General features: G+C 37.5%; 1 long non-coding RNA gene across 1 annotated transcript in view; it reads right to left on the reverse strand.

The window, feature by feature from the left end:
• Nucleotides 1-6271: 6271 nt before the first annotated feature.
• LOC105376634 (uncharacterized) overlaps nucleotides 6272-17277 on the reverse strand; it is a 146154-nt gene continuing 135148 nt past the window's right edge. The window contains exon 3 of the long non-coding RNA XR_931202.2: nucleotides 6272-16178. This is a non-coding gene — a long non-coding RNA (uncharacterized LOC105376634). The remainder of the gene's footprint in view (nucleotides 16179-17277) is intronic.

Genomic DNA, 17277 nt, shown 5'->3' on the forward strand with positions numbered 1-17277 from the left:
ACTGCCCTAATAATCCTCTGTATTCCTCTAATTCTTCCTTCCTCCCTTTCTTCTAACTACCGGCAACCACTGATCTTTTTACTGTCTTCATAGTTTTGCCCTTTCTAAAAATATTATATGGTTGGAATCATACAGTATGTAGCCTTTTCAAATTGGCTTCTTTCACTTAGTAGTGTATGTTTAAGTTTCATCCATGTGTTTTTATGGCTTGAATCCTCATTTCTTTTTATCACTGAATAGATTCCAGTGCCTGAATGTATCTCAGTTTATTTATCCATTCACCTACTGGAGGGCATCTTGGTTGCTTCCAAGTTTTGGCAATCATGAATAAATCTGCTATTAACATTCATGTGCAGGTTTTTGTGTGGACACAAAAGCCTTTGTTTTTCAAGTCCTTTTCGGTAAATACCAAGGAACACAGTTGCTGAATAGTATGCTAAGAGTATGTTTACTTTTCTAATAAACTGCCAAACTGTCTTTCAAAGTGGCTGTACCATTTTACATTGCTTCTAACAATGAAAGAGAGTTCCTCTTGCTCCACATCCTTACCATCATTTGGTGTTATTGGTAGTCTTCATTCATTTTGTGCTGCTAAAACAAAATACCTGAGACTGTAATGTATAAAGAACAGAAATTATTGTCTCATAGTCTTGGAGCTGGAAAGTCCAAACTCAAGGTGCTGGCAGGTTCAGTTGTCTAGTGAGAGCTTCTTTCAGAAAGGATGGCTTTTTTGCTACATCCTTGGACGAAGAGGAATGCTGTTTCCTCCTATTGTGATAGGCAGATGGGCAAGCTAACTGAATGCTTCATAAAGTCTCTTTTAAAAGTTTCTTAATCTTATTCACAAGAAATGAGCCCTTATGGCCTAATTAGCTCTTAAAGGCCCCACCTCTTAATACTATCATATTGGCAACACCTGAATTTTGAAGGTGACACATTTAAACCGTAGCATCAGTATTTGGAATTTTGGCCATGTTAATAGGTGTACTGGGTATCATTGTTTTAATTTGCAATTCTCTAACGATATATCATCTGGAGCATCTTTCCATATGTTTATTTTTCATCTGTATATCTTTTTTGGTGAATTTTTCATTCAGATATTTTAACCATTTATTTTCTTATTGTTGGGTTTCAAAAATTCTTTGTATATTTTGGATAATAGTTCTTCATCAGACATGTCTTTTGCAAATATTTTTTTCCAAGTCAGTTGCTTATCTTATTTTCTTGACAGTGTCTTTTGCAGAGCAGAGATTTTTAATTTTAACAGAGCCAAGTTTAGCAATTATTTCTTTCACGAGTCATAGTGTTGTACCAAAAAATTCATCATCATACTTAAAGTCATCTATATTTTCCCTTGTTGCCTTCTAGTAGTTTTATGGTTTTGTGCTTTACACATTGATCTATTATCCATATTGAGATAGCTTTATAAAGGGTGTAAGTTCTGTATCTTAGATGTCCAATTGTTTTAGTACCATTTGTTGAGGACTGTCTCTTCTCTAGCATATTACATTTGCTCCTTTGTCACAGATCAGTTGACTATGTGGGTCTATTTCTGGACCCTATTCTGTTTTATTTCACTTATCTTTTTCCAGAAATTTTTATGTTTATCTTGTGCAATGCTAACAGCAAATGGATAAGATAGCTATTATTACATTTATTTTGTAGATGAGAAAATTTAGGTCTTCAGGGGAAAATTACTTTGCCCGGTACCTGACCAAACTATGTTCAAATTCAGCTCTGTGTTGCTCCAAAGATTTTGCTCATTCTACTAAACCAAATTCAACACTTATACAGAGGAATTGGGGTGGAGTACACAATAAAATGATGATTAGAATGAGTTCAACATTATTTTATCCCACATGCAGTGGTTCCGTTCCTTTTTGTTATATCATTCTTTATTCCACTCACATATTCTCAATCTTTAGCTGTGTTTGGATCAATGAAAAATGAGGTTAAGAATTATAATGGCTATCATGAGTGTCTGAATTATAAAAGTGGCAACATCTGAAATTGCTCCATATTTAGAGCAAATATAGTATGAATACCGTGACATATTTGCATATGGGCACATTATTCCACTTATTTCCTGAGCATAGGACCAAATAAGATACTAATTCTATTAAGAAATCTCAGCCGGGCACAGTGACTCACTCACACCTGTAATTCCAGCACTTTGGGAGGCCAAGGCAGGCAGATCACGAGGTCAGGAGTTCAAGACCAGCCTGGCCAATATGGTGAAACCCTTTCTCTACTAAAAATACAAAAATTAACCGGGCATGGTGGCGTCTGCCTGTAATCACAGCTACTGAGGGGGCTGAGGCAGAGGAACCGTTTGAACCCGGGAGGCGGAGGTTGCAGTGAGCCAAGATCGTGCCACTGTACTCCAGCCTGGGCAGCAGAGTGAGACTCTGTCTCAAAAAAAAAAAAAAAAAAAAGTAGCCTCAAAAAGAACAAGATCAATTACTTGCTTTTATAAAGTTCTTTATAATTCATAATATCATGGGAGGAAAAAAAGTTAGTTAAATGCGACCCAGTTTGCAAAAATAAGGTATCGCATGTGCTTTTACTACTGGCCTATTTTTGTACACACCCTCATTGGGGATACTGCTTGACAGATGAATCTGTCACTGAGAAAAAAGATAATCATGTTATTAAAAAGTATCCTAAGAGAAATCAGAAAACTTCTTGCAATAATGCAGATTTATCTGAAATAAGATCTACAAGAGACACATTAATATTTTTTGAGATAAAGTGCTTTATTTCCTTATCCTAAACTGTACACCAATAGAAGTTTAAAGAACATGTTATTTATTCGGAAATGGTATTTTCTCAATATAAATGAAGTATTTTGAACAGGAACAAAATGGTGTTAATGGCTTAAAAAAAGTCAAATGGTAAGCCAGCTTTATTATTCATACTCTATATTATGTGAACTACAGACTATAATGATTTCAGGGAAATTAAAGCATTTAATAATCATTTAATTCCACATTTTTTGATTTTCTACTTCCAGCAGATATTGAGATTAGCTTTTTTTTTCTGTGTTATTTACTGGCCTATTTCAGCATATTCAGAAACATGAGAAGTGAATCAAGGACTAGATACATCAAAATAAAAGTGATTGTTGACTATTGAACTTGAATAGACTGTTAATGAATCTTAATTGAAGTACTTTCTCAAATTTTAGTCTGCATAAATGTGATTATAGTTTGAAAAGCGATTATAAAATTGTGTACTAGAATTTTGAAGTGATTTCTCAAGTGTTTCCCACATTATATTCACCCCTCTCTGAAGTAAATTGACACTTTTCCCTTATTCTCAGTTTTGAACATTACATTTGGACTTTAAAACCATTTTAATGAACTTCTTACAAAATATAGTTATTCTTTTTTTAAATGCTTATTTCTTTTCTTTCTCACTTTCTTCATGTCAAATTAAAGAGGAAAATTCTCAATTCATTTTATCTGTCAAAATACAGTCAGTTTTCTTCATTAAAATATCCTAATTAAGCATAATAATAACAACAATTTTAGGGGTAATTATTTTGTTTTAGGAATTTTGCTAAGCCCCTTTATATGAATTATTTCCTCCATTGCTTCGTTCTACAATTTTCGAAGTCATCCTTTTAAGAATATATTAAAGAGAGTGGCTATATAAGGAAATAATATTGACCAAATATTTGATAAGAATTCATCCTAATTAAATGCATACTTGATTTTTGAAAAAAATGCACTTCTTTTAAACAGTCTTAAATAAATACAGGTAAAAATTGCATAAGGTTGATTAAACAGAGAATAATTGTAGGTAAATAATAAACTTCCAATAGGATATAATCCAGGCAACATGGAGCTAGCTTGGACTGGCTAATGCAGATGGCAACAACTGGCTGGAATCTGAATAATATTTTTATATAATGTCCATAGTAGTATTTTAAGGATGATGAGGCTACTAGATATCTAAAATAAAAAGACAAAGCTGATTTTATTGTTCACTATAACAAGAGAGAGCTATGCTTGTCAGTCATAGTCTCTGTGAGCAGAGCAGAGCAGAGAAGACTACTGATTTTATATAGGGATTCAGGGAAAAATGGAGTTCAGGGATTGGTAGATTTTCCTTCTAGAAGTTTCAGTAGATGACATCATTTGTAGAATTGCAGTCACTAGAATGAGACTGTTGTTGCCTGGTTGGTATTCAGAGGCACACTACTTAGAGCTAGTATGTTCACTGTTGACCGGGTGACTTTTTCAGAAGCAAGAGACTCACTCAGCTCCGCTGGATGGAAATGTGTTTATTTAACAGAGTTGCCATTGATTATTGAATAGGTTGTATTAGTCAAGCTCAGACACAGAGGCAGAATATGTGTAGACATATATGCAAGTCCAACGTCATATATAATAGGTAGTTAGAAAGGAAGAATCATGCGTGGGCTGAAATTTCATGAGTATGGGCCAAGCTATTGTCAAAGTGAGTCTCTTTCTCTCTCCCCAGGGAAGTAATAAGCCTTTTTCTACGGGGTTCCAACTGAGTAAGTAATGCCCACCCAGGATAATCTCTCTTAATTAATGACCATTTTTTACGGATTTTTGTTACATTATCTCTTCACTACAACAACCTATATTAGTGTATAATTGGATAAGGAAAAAAATGGATGTGCATGATACAAAATGGTTATTTCTCCCTTCCTTCTTCCAACTTTTGTAAGACAATAACTCTTGTAGTTCACCCCCCAAATAACATATGAGCAAGGAAATTCCAGAAAAGAAAGTTTAGTCTACCCAAGGTGAAAACACAAAATCATCACACATGTTTTCTATGGGCACAGAACAATCAATCTTTTTGTATGCTTGTAGGAACTTTTGAACTGATTTTTTCCACTCTTTCCTCCTTTCTCTAATTTTCCTTTTCTCTTTTTTTCTCATAGTTTTTGTCATCTTTCACTTACTACATCGGGGAATGTATGTGCCATAGCAGAATATGAGAGCAAAATACTTTGTTTTTGCCATTTTTTTTTTTTTGGCCCAAAAGCAAAGGCCCTTGAAGAACCAAAAGCATTACGGCAGACATAAATAACTTTGAAGAAGATATCGTGAGGAATATCAAGCCTTTATTATTCCCAATTTCTGTCTTTTAATTTGAAAATAAATATTTTGTGGAGAATAGGCATAGAAGGAAATATGGTCTAAATGGAAATGATGAGTGTATAAACAAAGGTGATTCTAGTATAGAAAAGAGGTAGAGCACTGGAGAGCTGGCATAACCCTATATAAGTTTATGGGATTCAAGATGAGACAGAAGTTTTATATTCAATTTAGGATAATGTTATACAGATGAATTGAGACATCTGGGATGGGAAAATCACTATATCACATATCTTGTTAGGTAAGTTGCTTAGATTAAAAGACATTTTCTATGCCCGGTCGAAAGAAAGTAGATGTCTCCTATGCTTCTGAATAGCACAGAAACAGCAGAGAACATTTCTGAGCCTCAAGGAATATTTAAGAGTATGGTCTGTGTGAACTTAGGACTGAGGGTCAGATGAGTTAAAGGCACCTTGTTGAAAGCTTGAGTGGATCTTTGGCTTTGATAAATACATCCAACCTCCACTCCCAAGTAAAGTTAAAAAGAATTAAAAACTCAGACATAATCTGATGGAAAGTGTGGGAATCACTTTCAAAATAATACCAAATTTGTGTCATTCTGCTAGGAAAATGACTTAAAATAGAAATTAGAACTTATAGCAATAAAATTCTATTTATTAAAATTCGAATACATAAAATTGTCATATACTTAACAATTATCAAATTCTAAATTGTAATACTACTTACCATCCTAATGTTTTAAATCATTTATATATAAATCACAAAAATGATTTTCATATATTGCTTATATATGTAAATTACATAAATGATTCATATATACATAGCTTATATACAAATGACATTAAAAATTGATATATTCCTACAATAATATAAATTATATATAACTGAATGGTGACTTTGGCCCTGATCTTTCACTTTTTTGCTCTAATATAGTTGGTAGTGTCTAAGAATGCTGCCTGAAATAAGATCCTTCCCATTTTTTTTTAAGAATTTCACTCTTGTGAAGCATAAAAAGAATAGAAGAATATAAGATTTTAAATCCTTCCACATTCTGCTGGTCAAAGAATATGTACTATTGTATGTAATAATACCTAAGTCATTCTTCCTCTCTGAACTCAGTCCAATTCTATTATTTGATTTTGGAAATGGATTTTGAACATGGGCCTGTTTGTCTAATCAGATTATTATTTTCCTATTCTTTTCTATTTAAATGCTGAGTGGCAGAGCTATATTTGGGAAGGCAATGATTTCATTACACCAATAGAGGGAACTGCCTTTCCAACAAAATAGCAAAAGCCAAGTTGGCTAAGCAAGAATATTTCCCATTAAACTGAAGAAGCCACAAGAGAAATGCCGACAAAATGTCACCTCAAACACAATGACAACAGGATTACAGAAATCTAATTAGCCATTTCATTAACTGAATCCTGTCTGTGGAGATGGCAAACAATGGGGACTCAGAAACATCCATTCATTAGAAATATATGGAACTGTCAAGAAGATTATTCCATAATTTGTTTCTTGTTTTTTTTTTTCAGATGGTGCAGATGGAGTTAGGGTGGCGGAGTGACTTATTAAAAGGTCGTATTTCAGAAGGTTGTAAAAACTGAGGACACTTTCAGGGAGCTAAATTTACTATTGTAGATATATTGACAATGACACCTTTGAAATCTTATTTCTTTTTTTCATCCCACATAAGCTAATTAGGTACATTTATAGACACGATGTATAAGAGTCATATCTTGACAAAAATCATTAATAAGATGCTATTGAGGGAGGAGCCAAGATGGCCGAATAGGAACAGCTCCGGTCTACAGCTCCCAGTGTGAGTGACGCAGAAGACGGGTGATTTCTACATTTCCATCTGAGGTACCGGGTCCATCTCACTAGGGAGTACCAGACAGTGGGCGCAGGACAGTGGGTGCAGCGCACCGTGTGCGAGCGGAAGCAGGGCGAGGCATTGCCTCACTCGGGAAGCGCAAGGGGTCAGGGAGTTCCCTTTCCCAGTCAAAGAAAGGGGTGACAGATGGCACCTGGAAAATCGGGTCACTCCCACCCTAATACTGTGCTTTTCCAACAGGCTTAAAAAATGGCGCACCAGGAGATTATATCCCACAACTGGCTCGGAGGGTCCTATGCCCACGGAGTCTCACTGATTGCTAGCACAGCAGTCTGAGATCAAACTGCAAGGTGGCAGCGAGGCTGGGGGAGGGGCGCCCGCCATTGCCCAGGCTTGCTTAGGTAAACAAAGCAGCCAGGAAGCTCCAACTGGGTGGAGCCCACCACAGCTGAAGGAGGCCTGCCTGCCTATCTAGGCTCCACCTATGGGGGCAGGGCACAGACAAAACAAAAAGACAGCAGTAACCTTTGCAGACTTAAATGTCCCTGTCTGACAGCTTTGAAGAGAGCAGTGGTTCTCCCAGCACGCAGCTGGAGATCTGAGAACGGGCAGACTGCCTCCTCAAGTGGGTCCCTGACCCCTGACCCCCAAGCAGCCTAACTGGGAGGCACCCCCCAGCAGTGGCAGACTGATACCTCACACGGCCGGGTACTCCTCTGAGACAAAACTTCCAGGGGAACCATGAGACAGCAGCATTCGCGGTTCACGAAAATCCGCTGTTCTGCAGCCACTGCTGCTGGTACCCAGGCAAACAGGGTCTGGATTGGACCTCTAGCAAACTCCAACAGACCTGCAGCTGAGGGTCCTGTCTGTTAGAAGGAAAACTAACAAACAGAAAGGACATCCACACCAAAAACCCATCTGTACATCACCATCATCAAAGACCAAAAGTAGATAAAACCACAAAGATGGGGGAAAAACAGAGCAGAAAAACTGGAAACTCTAAAAAGCAGAGTGCCTCTCCTCCTCCAAAGGAACGCAGCTCCTCACCAGCAACAGAACAAAGCTGGACGGAGAATGACTTTGACGAGTTGAGAGAAGAAGGCTTCAGACGATCAAACTACTCCGAGCTACAGGAGGAAATTCTAACCAAAGGCAAAGAAGCTGAAAACTTTGAAAAAAATTTAGACGAACGTATAACTAGAATAACCAATACAGAGAAGTGCTTAAAGGAGCTGATGGAGCTGAAAGCCAAGGCTCGAGAAGTACCTGAAGAATGCAGAAGCCTCAGGAGCTGATGCGATCAACTGGAAGAAGGGGTATCAGTGATGGAAGATGAAATGAATGAAATGAAGCAAGAAGGGCAGTTTAGAGAAAAAAGAATAAAAAGGAATGAACAAAGCCTCCATGAAATATGAGACTATGTGAAAAGACCAAATCTATGTCTGATTGGTGTACCTGAAAGTGATGGGGAGAATGGAACCAAGTTGGAAAACACTCTGCAGGATATTATCCAGGAGAAGTTCCCCAATCTAGCAAGGCAGGCCAACATTCAAATTCAGGAAATATAGAGAACACCACAAAGATACTCTTCGAGAAGAGCAACTCCAAGACACATAATTGTCAGATTCACCAAAGTTGAAATGAAGGAAAAAATGTTAAGAGCAGCCGGAGAGAAAGGTTGGGTTACCCACAAAGGGAAGCCCATCAGACTAACAGCTGATCTCTCGGCAGAAACTCTACAAGCCAGAAGAAGAGACTGGGGGTCAATATTCAACATTCTTAAAGAAAAGAATTTTCAACCCAGAATTTCATATCCAGCCAAACTAAGTTTCATAAGTCAAGGAGAAATAAAATACTTTACAGACAAGCAAATGCTGAGAGATTTTGTCACCACCAGGCCTGCCCTAAAAGAGCTCCTGAAGGAAGCACTAAACATGGAAAGGAACAACCAGTACCAGCCACTGCAAAATCATGCCAAATTGTAAAGACCATCGAGGCTAGGAAGAAACTGCATCAACTAACGAGCAAAATAACCAGCTAACATCATAATGACAGGATCAAATTCACACATAACAATAATAACTTTAAATGTAAATGGACTAAATGCTCCAATTAAAAGACACAGACTGGCAAATTGCATAAAGAGTCAAGACCCATCAGTGTGCTGTATTCAGGAAACCCATCTCACGTGCAGAGACACACATAGGCTCAAAATAAAAGGATGGAGGAAGATCTACCAAGCAAATGGAAAACAAAAAAAGGCAGGGGTTGCAATCCTAGTCTCTGATAAAACAGACTTTAAACCAACAAAAATCAAAAGAGACAAGGACATTACATAAGGGTAAAGGGATCAATTAACAAGAAGAGCTAACTATCCTAAATATATATGCACCCAATACAGGAGCACCCAGATTCCTAAAGCGAGTCCTGAGTGACCAAAAAGAGACTGAGACTCCCACACAATTATAATGGGAGACTTTAACACCCCACTGTCAACATTAGACAGATCAACGAGACAGAAAGTTAACAAGGATACCCAGGAATTGAACTCAGCTCTGCACCAAGCGGACCTAATAGACATCTACAGAACTCTCCACCCCAAATCAACAGAACATACTTTTTTTTCAGCACCACACCACACCTATTCCAAAATTGACCACATAGTTGGAAGTAAAGCTCTCCTCAGCAAATGTAAAAGAACAGAAATTATAACAAACTGTCTCTCAGACCACAGTGCAATCAAACTAGAACTCAGGATTAAGAAACTCACCCAAAACCACTCAACTACATGGAAACTGAACAACCTGCGCCTGAATGACTACTAGGTACATAATGAAATGAAGGCAGAAATAAAGATGTTCTTTGAAACCAACGAGAACAAAGACACAACATACCAGAATCTCTGGGACACATTCAAAGCAGTGTGTAGAGGGAAATGCATAGCACTAAATGCCCACAAGAGAAAGCAGGAAAGATCCAAAATTGATACCCTAACATCACAATTAAAAGAACTAGAAAACAAGAGCAAACACATTCAAAAGCTAGCAGAAGGCAAGAAATAACTAAAATCAGAGAAGAACTGAAGGAAATAGAGACACGAAAAACCCTTCAAAAAATTAATGAATCCAGGAGCTGGTTTTTTGAAAGGATCAACAAAATTGATAGACCGCTAGCAAGAAAAATAAAGAAGAAAAGAGAGAAGAATCAAATAGAAACAATAAAAAATGATAAAGGGGATATCACCACCGATCCTACAGAAATACAAACTACCATCAGAGAATACTATAAACACCTCTACGCAAATAAACTAGAAAATCTAGAAGAAATGGATACATTCCTCGATACATACACTCACCCAAGACTAAACCAGGCAGAAGTTGAACCTCTGAATAGACCAATTACAGGCTCTGAAATTGTGGCAATAATCAATAGCTTACCAACCAAAAAGAATCCAGGACCAGATAGATTCACAGCCGAATTCTACCAGAGGTACAAGGAGGAACTGGTACCATTCCTTCTGAAACTATTCCAATCAATAGAAAAAGAGGGAATCCTCCCTAACTCATTTTATGAGGCCAGCATCATCCTGATACCAAAGCTGGGCAGAGACACAACCAAAAAAGAGAATTTTAGACCAGTATCCTTGATGAACATTGATGCAAAAATCCTCAATAAAATACTGGCAAACCGAATCCAGCAGCACATCAAAAAGCTTATTCACCATGATCAAGTGGGCTTCATCCCTGGGATGCAAGGCTGGTTCAATATATGCAAATCAATAAATGTAATCCAGCATATAAACAGAACCAAAGACAAAAACCACATGATTATCTCAATAGATGCAGAAAAGGCCTTTGACAAAATTCACCAACTCTTCGTGCTAAAAACTCTCAATAAATTAGGTATTGATGGGACGTATCTCAATAAGAGCTATCTATGACAAACCCACAGCCAATATCATACTGAATGGGCAAAAACTGGAAGCATTCCCTTTGAAAACTGGCACAAGACAGGGATGTCCTCTCTCACCACTCCTATTCAACATAGTGTTGGAAGTTCTGGCCAGGGCAATTAGGCAGGAGAAGGAAATAAAGGGTATTCAATTAGGAAAAGAGGAAGTCAAATTATCCTTGTTTGCAGATGACATGATTGTATATCTAGAAAACCCCATCGTCTCAGCCCAAAATCTCCTTAAGCTGATAAGCAACTTCAGCAAAGTCTCAGGATACAAAATCAATGTACAAAAATCACAAGCATTCTTATACACCAATAACAGACAAACAGAGAGCCAAATCATGAGCGAACTCCCATTCACAATTGCTTCAAACAGAATAAAATACCTAGGAATCCAAATTACAAGGGACGTGAAGGACCTCTTCAAGGAGAACTACAAACCACTGCTCAATGAAATAAAAGAGGATACAAACAAATGGAAGAACATTCCATGCTCATGGGTAGGAAGAATCAATATCATGAAAATGGCCATACTGCCCAAGGTAATTTATAGATTCAATGCCATCCCCATCAAGCTACCAATGACTTTCTTCACAGAATTGGAAAAAACTACTTTAAAGTTCATATGGAACCAAAAAAGAGCCTGCATCGCCAAGTCAATCCTAAGCCAAAAGAACAAAGCTGGAGGCATCACGCTACCTGACTTCAAACTATACTACAAGGCTACAGTAACCAAATAAGCATGGCACTGGTACCAAAACAGAGATATAGATCAATGGAACAGAACAAAGCCCTCAGAAATAACACCGCATATGTATAACTATCTGATCTTTGAGAAACCTGAGAAAAACAAGCAATGGGGAAAGGATTGCCTATTTAATAAATGGTGCTGGGAAAACTGGCTACCCATATGTAGAAAGCTGAAACTGGATCCCTTCCTTACACCTTATACAAAAATCAATTCAAGATGGATTAAAGACTTAAACGTTAGACCTAAAACCATAAAAACCCTAGAAGAAAACCTAGGCATTACCATTCAGGACATAGGCATGGGCAAGGACTTCATCTCTAAGACACCAAAAGCAATGGCAACAAAAGCCAAAATTGACAAACGGGATCTAATTAAATTAAAGAGCTTCTGCACAGCAAAGGAAACTACCATCAGAGTGAACAGGCAACCTACAACATGGGAGAAAATTTTCACAACCTACTCATTTGACAAAGGGCTAATATCCAGAATCTACAATGAACTCAAACAAATTTACAAGAAAAAAACAACCCCATCAAAAAGTGGGCAAAGGACATGAACAGACACTTCTCAAAAGAAGACATTTATGCAGCCAAAAAACACATGAAAAAATGCTCACCATCACTGGCCATCAGAGAAATGCAAATCAAAACCACAATGAGATACCATCTCACACCAGTTAGAATGGCAATCATTAAAAAGACAGGAAAGAACAGGTGCTGGAGAGGATGTGGAGAAATAGGACCACTTTTACACTGTTGGTGGGACTGTAAACTAGTTCAACCATTGTGGAAGTCAGTGTGGCGATTCTTCAGGGATCTAGAACTAGAAATACCATTTGACCCAGCCATCCCATTACTCGGTGTATACCCAAAGGACTATAAATCATGCTGCTAAGACACATGCACACATATGTTTATTGAGGCACTATTCACAATAGCAAAGACTTGGTTTCAACCCAGATGTCCAACAATGATAGACTGGATTAAGAAAATGTGGCACATATACACCATGGAATACTATGCAGCCATAAAAAATGATGAGTTCATGTCCTTTGTAGGGACATGGATGAAATTGGAAATCATCATTCTCAGTAAACTATTGCAAGAACAAAAAACCAAACACCGCATGTTCTCACTCATAGGTGGGAATTGAACAATGAGAACACATGGACACAGGAAGGGGAACATCACACTTAGGGGACTGTTGTGGGGTGGGGAGAGCGGGGAGGGATAGCTTTAGGAGATAATACCTAATGCTAAATGACGAGTTACTGGGTGCAGCACACCAGCATGGCACATGTATACATATGTAACTAACCTGCACATTGTGCACATGTACCCTAAAACTTAAAGTATAATAATAATACAATAAAATAAAATTCAAATGTCATTTCTTCTGAGAAAAAAAAAGATGCTATTTATCTCAATTGCAACTTTACATAGCACTTACACTGTCAATGGATTGTCTGATTAAATGTAAACTCTTTGAAGACAGGTGTCTCATTTTTCTTGTTTTTATAGCCACAAGTTTTAGTGTCTGAGAAATTTTTAAGGTAACAGATAAATGAATGAAACAATTTTTTTAAATAAACAGAAAAATTTAACCTCAAGAAGAACAAAGTGGTACGAATCCAAGGGAAGTGAAAAGAAATTGACGGCAGGATTACAATTTCTGATTGATTGAAAAATTCACCTGTTCATTAATGTAATTTCCTGGTAAAATATTAAGAATCGTCACTGAATTTTGATGAAGATGTTATTGCAGATTAAAAGCATTGCAATAGACGGCAGTCAAGTTTCTGCAGGTTTTACCTTTTTATTTTGGACCTGGTCAGTGTATCTTCAATGGCTACTGTACATTATCAATGCACACAGTGTATTATCAAGCCAAATTCCTTGTGGAATTTGTGGCTGCTATTTTGTGACTTGGTTTCTCTCACTTGAAGGACAGGATTTTCCTCTGGGTCCATGGTGAAATCTTAGCCCATCTGCCTGTAGGGTGTGGTTTTCAATGCCTCAATGAAGGGTATAGTTGTATTGTTTAACAGAAAGATGAACAGACAGAGGTGAAGGTACATTCTTTGTCCTCAAAAACAAACAACCTTCACCCCCTCAGCAAAAAACAGATTGTTATGTAAAAGTCTAAAAGACAGAGGTAAGAAAAGGCCTAGACAGACTTGAAAGATGTTAAGAATGGCCCTTCAGATAACCAAGACTATCAGCTGAAAACACTTTTAAGCTATCTGGCTTCATTTATACAATTGAAGATATATTACTTTCAGCATAGTAAAGAAAAATTTGCTGACACTAAAGTTGTGGGGAGTTATTTGATTTTAGGAACACAGGTTCACAGGATTACCAGGATGCCGAATACACTTTCATTCAAGGGTGGCTCCATATACAAAGTATGGGAGCTGCTGCTGTGTATTGCCAAGACACAATTACAACCTGAGATGGTCAGATGAGCAGGTTGGCCATTTTGGTAATAGGACTGATTAATTAGTTGACTGATTTAGGGGGTGGTAATTGTTTAGGCATCCTGAGGATAATGCAAAGGTTTTTCTCTTTAAGAACAAAACTTCAGCATCCCATCCTACATTGTATCACAGAATATACCACCAGACATAACAAAAAGCCAAAATTCTAACTAATTAAGGAACACATATCTCTATGAAGTAACACTTTCGAGAAGAAGAGGCTGTAATTCAACTCCATAAGCTTAAGATACTGAAAACTTTAAAAGTTTGCCCATAGAAAAATAAAATTCTGCAAGAACAACACAATGGTTATTCAGGACATTTAATTTCTTTCCACATATATTGAATTTGTTCAAAAACTAATTTTCCACCCAGACCAGAAGCCACAGCAAACAAACAAACCTAATAAAAGAATATTGGTTTAGAATACTAAACAATGAGATTAATGAAGTAATGTATTGTATTGGAGAAAACAACATTAAAATACTTTAAATAACAGAATTGGTTATTTTAAATATAAAACTAAAGAAAAATATTTTTTAAAAGTTTTCTTCTTTAGTGTTTACATATTGTCAGAAGAAAATGCCATTTTAAAGACTGAACTTGAGCTGGTATCTTTAAAAAGGGATTATCTATTAGTTACTTTATTGACTAGGATTAACAGTGACCTTCTTCAGTTAAATACAGTTACTTGTTTTTTTGAACTGAGGTCTCAGATATTGTCCTGTAATTGATGTTGATCAGTATGAGTTTATGAGCTTAAAAATAAAAACATATTTCTCAGTGAAAATCGACCTAAGACAATATTTTTGTTCAATTCCAATTCCCATATGAGACTAAATCTTTTTAACAAAACACTAGTCTTATGAAAAAAAGCCTATTATTATGTTCAAAAAATAATAGTCTCAATTTATTAATCTAGAAAATGGGGCTAATAATATACACCTTTTTAAAATGTTATACAAATGCTACAGAAAACTAATACAAAGAATTTGGCAACAAAATTATATAATTTTCTATGTCACTAATTTAAATGACCGAGGTCTTTTTAATCAAACTATCCAGCTAGCTGGAAAAATAAGAGCTCCCCTCTGTGAAAAGAAACTGACTGGCTGGGCCCCGTGGCTTAGGCCTGTAATCCCAGCACTTTGGGAGCCTGAGGCAGGTGGATTATCTGAGGTCAGGAGTTCGAGACCAGCCTGGTTAAAATGGCAAAACTCTGTTGCTACCAAAAATACAAAAATTAGCCAGGTGTGGTGGTGGGCACCTGTAATCCCAGCTACTCAGGAGGCTGAGGCAGAAGAATGGCTTGAACCCAGGAGGTAGAGGTTACAGTGAGCCAAGATGGTGCCATTGCACTCCAGCCTGGGGGACGGGGGGAGACTCCATCTCAAAAAAAAAAAAAAAAGAAAGAAAAGAAACTGACTAATGCTTGTAGCATACTGCACACTCATGGCAAGTTATGCAAGGGCTACACTTTACTGCAATGCTTCTCAAATTGTAGTCCAGGAAGCTGTGGATACTCTTATTAATATATTATTAAAATATATGCTTTTAGAGTATCTACAAGGTCAAACTATTGTTTTAGTAATGATAAAACATTAATTGACTTTGTTCACTCTGTTGAAATTTACACTGATTTTGCAAAAGCAAATGTGGTAAAATTGTTGGTGTCATAGAAAGTATCATAGCAGAGGAGACTTTCAGTTCCAAAATGGCAGCTGGCTTCCCTGCTACCCACAGAAAACCAAAAAAATGTAAGGCACTGAGATTGTCACCGGCAATATTCCAGAACTCAAAGATGAGGATAAGTCATTTCCCAGCGCCACAGAAAGCTTAAAAACTCTGAGCAGACAGTAAGATAATTTAATTTCCTATATGCAACAACTATCCCCCCAATCTGTCTAGCACCAAGAGTGCAAAAAATTTCCCCCAACTTACCATTTCTACACTGGAAAAAGTGAGATCGAGGTGGACGATCAGCTTCTCCACCAACTTGAGTCCTTCATCAGGAGACCTTTTCATGCCTCAATCCATGAGAAGTATTGTGAGTACCTGAAGGGAGACAAATCTTTTTGTTTGTTTGTTTTTTTGAGACAGAGTCTTGCTCTGTCTCCCAGGCTGGAGTAAAGTGGCCCAGTCTCGGCTCACTGCAAGCTCCGCCTCCCAGGTACACGTCATTCTCCTGCCTCAGCCTCCCCAGTAGCTGGGACTACAGGCGCCCGCCACCACGCCCAGCTAATTTTTTGTATTTTTAGTAGAGACGGGGTTTCACCTTGTTAGCCAGGATGGTCTCGATCTCCTGACCTCGTGATCTGCCCGCCTCGGCCCCCCAAAATGCTGGGATTACAGGCGTGAGCCACCGCGCCCGGCCAGGGAGACAAATCTTTGAGGACAGCCAGAGAGAAAGGGGAAAGGTGGTAACATCATCCCCATCTCTGGAAACCCTGCTCTGTAACTTGGCCAAAGGAGATCACAAATCAGAATAGGATTTCTATTCATATTCAGCAGCATCATGCTGTAGGAGGTACATTCTGTAAGTGTCCTGGGCTCAAACCCCTAGCTGGCCTTTTTATGCTCCCAGGATATCCCATTTGTGACCTCCCCTATTCTTGCCAGGAAGCACTTATGATTTGCTAGAGCTGAGGCAATCCTGAGCTTTAGGTAACATCTGGTGCCAAAAAGTAGGCAGTGACCTAGGAAAAAATTAAGAAATTTCACAGGTAAATTATAAAGAATCTCTAAGCAAATATAACCAACAAAAACCAAAACAAGCCAGATAGAGAATACTGGAATAAATAAATAAATCTTCAAAGCAAAGACGTTGATGTACAATACATTTACAAGAAACAACAGCTATCAGGGAACTATGACCACCAGAAACAGACAAAGCAAGGTACCAGTAACTGACCTCAATGAGATGGCAATATGTGAGATCTCTGACCAATAATTCCAAATAAAAGTTTTAGGGAAAATCAGTGATCTCCAAGGATAACACAGAAAAACAATTCAGAAATTTATCAGAGAAATTTAACAAAATGATTAAAGAAAACAAAAACCCAGAAATTTAAAACTGAGAAATACATTTGCTACACTGAAAAATTCACTGGAGGTTTAAAACAGCAGATGGGCCAAGCAGAGAAAAATAAAAAAT

This window comes from Homo sapiens, chromosome 11, assembly GCF_000001405.40.
Source record: "Homo sapiens chromosome 11, GRCh38.p14 Primary Assembly".
Taxonomy (NCBI): domain Eukaryota; kingdom Metazoa; phylum Chordata; class Mammalia; order Primates; family Hominidae; genus Homo; species Homo sapiens.